The sequence below is a fragment of the Homo sapiens genome, chromosome 7, assembly GCF_000001405.40.
Source record: "Homo sapiens chromosome 7, GRCh38.p14 Primary Assembly".
NCBI lineage: Eukaryota > Metazoa > Chordata > Mammalia > Primates > Hominidae > Homo > Homo sapiens.
This window is the reverse complement of record NC_000007.14, coordinates 48675302-48684895: the sequence shown is the minus strand read 5'-3', so window position 1 is coordinate 48684895 and position 9594 is coordinate 48675302.

Here is a 9594-nt window from a genome sequence, read left to right as displayed (position 1 = left end):
AAAGTAGCCTCCATAAAACAGTCAAGTTAAGCTGGCCCTTTACAATGCTTTTCTCACCCTAAAACCTCTCCAAGGATAGTGTGCCTGGTGGGCCTTCTGGAGTTGGGAACATTTTTTAAAAATTCTAATCTTCTCAGAAAGTCCAGACTCCTCTCTTGATTTCATGAGTCAATTTTCCTGTCCAAGAAATTTTTTTTGTAAATTTTTTCTGGCATTTTTTCACTCTAATAATTTGATAAAGCTGAAACACAGTTACATTTAAAAAGAATGCACTAATCAGTAATTAAGCAGAATCCATGTTTCAATGAGACATTTTGACTGTCTCCAAAGAGGCCCAGAGAAAGGACTGAACCTCTAAAAATTCATTTCACCAAAATTGCACTAGCTACAAATACTTTGTGAACATGATGCATTTTCTAACTTTACCAAATGTATTAGACTTTTGCAGACACAATTTTTATCTGCTAGGATTTTTTCCCTTAGGGAAATTCTACAACCTCAAGACTAAATTGAAAGTTGTATGTGAAAAAGAAATCAAAATATATTTTCTATTCATTGTATAATATGTGATTTTTATAAAAAGTAATTATGTTTGAGATTATTGGAAGAGAACTTATAGAGCTCTTCCTTCCATAACTGAACAAATGCACAAAGACACAGAATTACATGTGATCTGATGACAGCAGTGTAAATTTTCTCTTTGTATATGATAATCTCTTTGGCACGGAAGTGAATGCATTCCAAAATTATTCAAAGTAAATGTATCTCAAAACGTTAATTCTATGTAAATCTCTTGTCTTAGAACTTGTGTGCAGGGTATCTAAATTTAAGAATAATTAAAATTTAGATTGGCAATATTTCTTTAATTATCTGCCTATACTTGGAAGTCTTCAATAAAATTAAAACAATATTAAAATTCTGAATTAGTAGGTTGTATATATATGTAGGTAGATATAGGGTTGTGGGTTTTGTGTGTGTGTGTGTGTGTGTGTTATTCCTAATTAAGTAGAATAGAGAGCCAATGAAGGTCAAGGTATGAGGTAATAATTTCTGAATAATAACACCCCTAAACTCAATGCATTAAAAAATCAACCAAAAATTTAGTTCATAAGTCTGCAGCTTGGTCATTTAGGCACGGTTCAGCTAAGCAGTTTCTCTATTCAGTATCAGGCTCTGGTGCACTCAACTAAGCTTTCTCATGCATCTGTGGTCAGCTGGTAGGTTGTCTAGAGCTGGCAGGTTTTTGATGGTCTCAAGTGGGCCAGTTAGAATAATGGGAGACCTCCATATGATCCCTCTTTCTACACAAGTCATGTTCACATGAAGGGCTCAGGGTTCCTAAGATAGCAAACAAGCCTTAACACCAAATACCTCCAATCTCTGCATCATGTTTGCAATGTCTTATTGGCTAATGCCAGCTGAATGGCTAAATTGAGATTCAAAGGCATGGACACAGTCAAGTATGAATGAATTGGGCCCATTTCTTTAATCAGTTGGCCATAGACTAAGAGTCTCCTGGGCTACAATACGTTTGAGCGAGGAACCCAGGGTAGGGCAGGTGAAGGACATTTATATAGTCTATCACTCAACAAGCATGCATTGTATACCAAGTGCTGTGGTTTGAATAAATGCCTCCTCCCCTCAAGAATTTATGTCTACCTGGAACCTCAAAATGTACTTTGTTTGGAAATAGAATTATCGTAGCTGTGATTAGTTAAGATGAGGTCATACTGGATTAGTTTGGGTCCTAAATTGAATGATTGGTGCCTTATAGGAAGAAGGCATGGCACAAGACACACACACACACATACACACACACACACACACACACACACACACACACACAGGGAAAACACTGTATAACAATGGAGACAAAGACTGAAAGGATTCAGCTGCAAGCCACAGAACACCAAGGATTGCCAGGAATCAGCAGAAGCCAGGGAAAGACAAGGAAGGGCTTTCTTTCAAAACCCTTCAGAAACAGCATGGAGCTGCCAACTGACACTTTCATTTCAAATCGTTATCCTAAAGAGCTGGGAGAGAATAAAAACCTGTTGTGTGTTTTTTTTATTTCTATTTTAAAATAAATTATATTGTGTATATTTAAGGTTTACAACATGATACTATGGGATATATATGTAGATACAAATAAGTACTATAATGATGAAGCAGATTAACATATGATCTCATTTTTGTGACATGAGCAGGTAAAATCTACTTATTTTACAAAAATTCCTAATACAATACAATTTTATTAGTCGTGTTACACATTAGATCTCTAGACTTGTTCATCTTACATATCTGCTACTTTGTATCCTTTTACCTACATCTCCCCATTTCTTCTCACCCTACCACCCATAACTTCTGTTTCATGCTCTATCTTTGTGTATGATCTCACTTATATATGAAATTTTTTTTAAAAAGCTGCTATGTCAAGCCACCCAGTGTGTGGTAATTTGTTATACCAACCCTGATAAATGACATCTATTAAGCACCATCCACTGTTTTAAGAGCTGAGATTACACCACTAAACAAAATACCTGGCCTCATGAAATTTATTTTCTAACTGGGTAAGACACGATAAACAAAATAAGGAAGACATTTATATGCAAAATGTATATATTAAAAGCTAACACATGCAATGGAAAAATTAAGCCAGGAAGAATGATGAAAAATGCTGCTGAGATGGTTACAATTTTCCATAGTGTGGTCATGAAAGAGTTTATTCAGAATGTGGCATTTAAACAGACATGTGGCAGTTAAGTGTGGTGGCTATAAGAATCTCTGGGGAAAGAGCTCCAAGGCAAAGAGGACAATAAAGGCAAGGGTCCTAAGATGAGAATGTGCCTGGAGTAATCAAGGAGGCCAGTGTGAGCAGCTAAGCCAGTGCAGGGAAGCTGGTGAGCAGAGCAGTTCATGTCCTTAGGTTGAGGCCCAGCATGGTCTGCCCTATACAGAGAGAGGATGAGGCCAGCACATATGGTCAATTTTACTCTTTTCTATTTTTGTCCTATTCTTTCTTTTCCAAGTTTATCTCTAAGATACTAATTTTTTTTTTTTTTTTTTTTTTTGAGATGGAGTCTTGCTCTGTCGCCCAGGCTGGAGTGCAGTGGCACAATCTCGGCTCATTGCAAGCTCCGCCTCCCGGGTTCACGCCATTCTCCTGCCTCAGTCTCCCTAGTAGCTGGGATTACAGGCGCCCGCCATCACGTCCGGCTAATTTTTTGTATTTTTTAGTAGAGACGGGGTTTCACCGTGTTAGCCAGGATGGTCTCGATCTCCTGACCTCATGATCCACCCGCCTCGGCCTCCCAAAGTGCTGGGATTACAGGCGTGAGCCACGGCGCCTGGCCTAAGATATTAATTTATGAGAGAAATCTTGAGGAAAATGGAATCATGCCTCATAGTGGAAAAAAAATTTTAGACTCAAATAGATCTTGGTTTGAACGGCAACTCCACTATTTCCTGAGTAATTTAGTGAATGCTATTTTTCCTATTACCTCATCTATAAAATTGGAAGAATAACACCTTCTGGACAGTGCTACTGAGAAGAGTCAACTAGTTAAACCATATAAAAGTGCCAGTTACAGAGCAAGCATCTAACAAAAGGGAATGCTTATCATGACTGGTTGATTATGATCAGTGTAGACAGCTCAGTAGACTCATTAGAGGCTGCATTCTTGTCTGACGTGTCCTCATACTGCTCTCCTGACAGTCTCCAGCTCTTTGTTTAGTAAGTATCAGCAAAGTACAAATCCTGTGAATTATTAAAGAGAGGAATGAGTAAGTAGATAATGAACCTCAGGGTGTGTCTTCTGGTCCCTGTTGTCCGGCTCTTCTAGTTTGTAAACACCTTGAAGTGTTCTTTATGCTCCTCTGCAAATAATGCCATTAATTGAATTGAATCCAGTAGACAAGACAGGAAACCTGTGCTATAATGTTTGAGCACTGCTATACTTCTTTTATTTTGAAGCTTCATGAACTCTTTCTTCCTCAGTTCATGAGATGCCATTAATATTGCCAGATGATTTCTTAAAATTGCTTAAGGTTAGAAAGAAAAAGAAGGAGCTGGTGCTATCATAATACAAACTTGGAATTTCTTAAAAGCAGTCAGGTACATAATTGAAAACCAATTGAATGTTCTAATCCATATGCATGAAAAACAATTTGCATTGCTTCATTATTTAAAAGCAGTGTAAATATGAGGATGTGGTAGGAATTTACTTGAGGAGTATTCTTCTGAGAATATTCATACAAAATGAAGCTTAACTCTTTTTAGACCTTGAAAATATATTTTGGAAAGGCCTAAACACTAAATAGTCTGAATTTTGATATTAATTTCAGAGAAATAAACACTATATTGGAACTAAACATGTCTGCTTTCTACTTAAAAACAGAATTCCAATTTCAAGAATACTTCCCCTAGACTAAGAAAAACAGGCAATTCAATATTCAAAATAACTTATTTCGCAGCCTCTGTAAGTCACAATACACTCTGTAAGTTGTATTATGATTTGTAAGTCATCTCTCTAACTGCCTGATTGATAATTCCTGAACCACTGTTGATTCAGGAAAAAAAAAAAAAAGGAATTTAATGGTAGAAAATGAACAGAATTGCAGAACATCACCATCCCCCATTCCTAATATTAAAGTTTCTAATCTGAGTCAAACCCCGTGATAGACATTTTGACATATGTTTTACTACTTAATTTACATGTAATTCAAATAGTTGTGTATTCTCTCCATATGGTCTTGTTTGCTCTGCTTCTGAAATATTCTATTGTATCAGTACTATGAGATCCATCACACCTTGTTTTTTGGAAAGCCCTTTTGTTATTATTTGGTTTTTATTTTTCTCAATGAGAATTACATTTACAGAGGCACTTTTGTTTCTTACAAGATGAAGTAACAAAAACCAGATGTGTCCCCTCACCTTAAACAACTAAAAATGATGGAAAAATATATGAAACAACATTTTTGGAGACACTGAAAATCCCTATGAGTGGGAAAGCAAATGGTAAGAGTACTGCAGTTGCCCATGCTTGCTGCCTGGAGAGAGATTCTGGGTCCTAGCGAAAAGGAAAAATAAAGACAGAGCCCAGTGAATGCCTGGATGTTAGCAGATGAAGAGCAGAGTTTGGATAGAACAAAAATAGTTAGAGATTTTAGGACAAGGTATCCTAGAGAAGAGAACCGCATGGTAGGTTAGCTCCAGAGTTTGCAAAAGGTCTCCCTCAAGTGTATAACACAGCACTGCTTAGTGCATGCAAGTGCAGAAAACACCCGAAGCTTGGAAGACAAGCACATGAAAGGAGCAGGTGAAAGAATCTACAAAGCTAAAATAAGGCCAGGAAGAGCTACTGTTTGCACCGTTCCAAGTAAAATGAACAAACAAATAAATAAATAATACATAAGGAATTGGAAAGAATTAACCCAAGGGTTTTGATTCAAAAGTGGGGAAAATAGGTCCTGCACTAAATGCTGGTCTGGTTCAATCTAACAAGCCTTAAAATCAAGCTTCAAAAATAGGAAGCTGTTTAAAGGTAACTTGAAAGAGAACTAATAATTGTCTAATAATAATAGGAGAATACTTAGAAAGACAATGTAAGATAGATATAACTTACAACTAAAGAGGAAAAGGATACAGACCCAATTAACATAAAATCACAAAATTGAGCATCTAGATAAAAATGTCCAGACATTAAATAAGTTTACAAGACATTAATATGCTTTTTTATATATTTATATATTTATAACTTATTTATATATTTAAGAAAGTAGAAAAGAGCATAATCATGAGAAACAAAGATACAAAAAATAAAATCCAAATTGAGTTTCTGGAAATGAAAACTACAACATCTGAGATGAACAATAACTAAATGAAAGGAACAGCAGATTCAACACAGCAGAGGAATACATTAGTAAATTGAAGATACAGCCGTTAAAATATCTAAAACAAAACAGAATATTTGGGCAGAAGAAGAGTACTAATGAGTGACTATAGGACAACTTCATTTGGGCCAATATATGCATAATTGGAATCAATGAAAAAAATTGAGGGAAGAAGAAATTTTGAAGAAATAATAGCTATTTATTTTATAAGCTTAATTTTAAAAGAACTCTGATATTTATCAAATATTCTGTCCCACAGCCAAATAAAATCCATTTTTTTTCGAGTGTATGTGAATATTTTCCAAGATGGAACATATTTGGGGTTATCAAACAATTCTAAATAACTTTTAAAAGATTGGAATCCTATGAACTATGTCGTGTAAAGAAAAATCAAATTAAAATTCAAAAACACAAAGGTCTCAGTGAAAACAAAACAATTATTTGAAACCATACAGCAAACTTCTAATTACTATGTGGTTTAAGTTAAAAAAAATTAAACAAGTTATTAGTGAATACTCTGAGTTGAATGAAATAAAAATTATAGCATATCAAATTTTGGATGCAAATAGAGGTAAATTTATAGCAGTATACATGTACAGTCATGCATCATTTAACAACAGGGTCATGTTGTGAGAAAGGTGTTGTTAGGTGTTTTAGTCATTGTGAGACCATCATAGAGTAGACTTACACAAATCCTGATGGTAGAGCCTACTACACACCTAAGCTGCATGGTATAGCCTATTGCTCCTAGGCTGCTAACCTGTACAGTATGCCACTGTACCGAATGCCATAGGCAATTATAAACAATGGTAAGTATTTGTGTTTCTAAACATACATAAACATGGAAAAAATATAATATTGTACACTTATGGAACCACCATCATATACAGAGTCCATCATTGACCAAAACATCATTATGTAGTACATAACTGTATATTAGAAAAGAAAAAGGTCACATATCAATAGCCCAAAATTCTTATTTTAGAAACTATTTGTTAACATGTTAATTGTCCCCAAAGTGATTCTATAGGTTCAACAGAATTCCAATCCAAATCACAGCAGGGAATTGTAGAAATAGACTTAGTGATTCCATGATTTATGTGAAAATGCAAAAAGAGTAGAGTTGAAACAACTTTAGAAAGAACAAATTTGGAGAAGTCATGTTATCTGATTTTAAGATTTATAGCATTCAGTAATCAAAGCAATATATTGTTGGTGAAAGAATATAGATTAATGCAGTAGGATACAATACAGAAATAATCTCCCATGGTCAAGAGATTTTCAACACAATTGCAAACAAAATTTAGTGAAAACAGGATAGTTTTTTTTTAAAAAAAAAAAAACATTACTAGAATACTTGGATATTTATTTGCAAAAAAATAAGCTAAGATAAAGTTTAATCCACACTTCACTCTGTATACAGAATTTACTCAAAATGGGTACTATAAACATATGTCCTAAAACCCTAAATATTCCAGAAGAAAACAGAGAAAACCTTCGCAACTTTGAGTTAGGTAAAGCCTTCTTAGACAGGAAACCAAAAACATGTTTTACAAAGGAAAAAGAAATGATAAGTTGGACTTGACCAAAATTAAGGACTTCTGCTCTTCAAACAATGCTATTAAGGGAGCACGTGAGATGGTAACATAGACAAAGTAGGGTGAAGAAAAAAAGGAAACTGTTTCTGTATTTCTGTAAGTCTAAAATTAGTTGAAAATGTTGTTTTTTAAATATATATATGTATAAGCTTTACACAGGGAGGAAAATCTGTTAATAACATTTGATTAAGCAAGTGAGTGTGTATATGCATGTGTGAAATACATTAAAAACTATGAAAATTCAAAAATAAGAAAACATTCAACCTAATATAAATTGGTGAAAGACTCAATTTATCAAAGACAATATACAGATGGCAAATAAATACACAAAAAGATGTTCAAAATCATTAGTCATTAGAAAAATGCAAATTAAAACCACAATGAGATAGCACTACACATCTATTTAAACTGCTAAAAAATAAAAATAACTGACACATCCAGAGGATACAGAGGAACAGGGATTCTCATATATTGTTTGTGGAATGTAAAATGTTGCAAGCACTTTGCAAAACAATTTAGGAATTTATTATAAAGTTAAAGAAATATCGTATGTTCCATAAATTTTATTTCTAAGGCACTTACTTGGGTTGAATGGAAACTTATTTTATTTTTTATTGTACTTTAAGTTCTAGGGTATGTGTGCACAACGTGCAGGTTTGTTACGTAGGTATACATGTGCCATGTTGGTTTACTGCACCTATCCACTCGTCATTTACAATAGGTATTTCTCCTAATGTTGTTCCTCCTCTAGTCCCCCAACCCCTGACAGGCCCCAGTGTGTGATGGTCCCCTCTCTGTGTCCAAGTGTTCCCATTGTTCAATTCTCACCTATGAGTGAGAACATGCGGTGTTTGGTTTTCTGTCTTTGTGATAGTTTGCTGAGAATGATGGTTTCCAGCTTCATCCATGTCCCTGCAAAGGACATGAACTCATCCTTTTTTATGGCTGCGTAGTATTTCATGGTGTATATGTGCCACATTTTCTTAATCAAGTCTATCATTGATGGACATTTGGGTTAGTTCCAAGTCTTTGCTATTGTGAGTAGTACTGCAATAAACATGCATGTGCATGTGTCTTTATAGTAGCATGATTTATAATCATTTGGGTATATACCCAGTAATGGGATCGCTGGATCAAATGGTATTTCTAGTCTAGATCCTTGAGGAATCACCACACTGTCTTCCATAATGGTTGAACTACTTTACACTCCCACCAACAGGGTAAAAGCATTCCTATTTCTCCACATCCTCTCCAGCACCTGTTGTTTCCTGACTTTTTAATGATCGCCATGCTAACCAGTGTGAGATGGTATCTCATTGTGGTTTTGATTTGCATTTCTCTGATGACTAGTGATGATGAGCATTTTTTCATGTGTCTGTTGGCTTCATAAATGTCTTCTTTTGAGAATTGTCTGTTCATATCCTTTGCCCACTTTTTGATGGGGTTGTTTTTTCCTTGTAAATTCTCTGTAGATTCTAGATATTAGCCTTTTGTCAAATGGGTAGGTTGCAAAATTTTTCTCCCATTCTGTAGGTTGCCTGTTCACTCTGATGGTAGTTTCTTTTGCCATGCAGAAGATCTTTAGTTTAATTAGATCCCATTTGTCTATTTTGGCTTTTGTTGCCTTTTGGTGTTTTATTCATGAAGTCCTTGCCCATGCCTATGTCGTGAATGGTATTGCTCAGGTTTTCTTCTAGGCTTTTTATGGTTTTAGGTCTAACACTTAAGTCTTTAATCCATCTTGAAATAATTTTTCTATAAGGTGTAAGGAAGGGATCCAGTTTCAGCTTTCTACATATGGCTAGGCAGTTTTTCCAGAACCATTTATTAAATAGGGAATCCTTTCCCCATTTCTTGTTTTTGTCAGGTTTGTCAAAGATTAGATGGTTGTAGATGTTTGGTGTTATTTCTGAGGCCTCTGTTCTGTTCCATTGGTCTATATATCTGTTTTGGTACCAGTACCGTGCTGTTTTGGTTATTGTAGCCTTGTAGTATAGTTTGAAGTCAGGTAGCGTGATGCTCCCAGCTTTGTTCTTTCTGCTTAGGATTGTCTTGGCAATGCAGGCTCTTTTTTGGTTCCATATGAACTTTGAAGTAGTTTTTT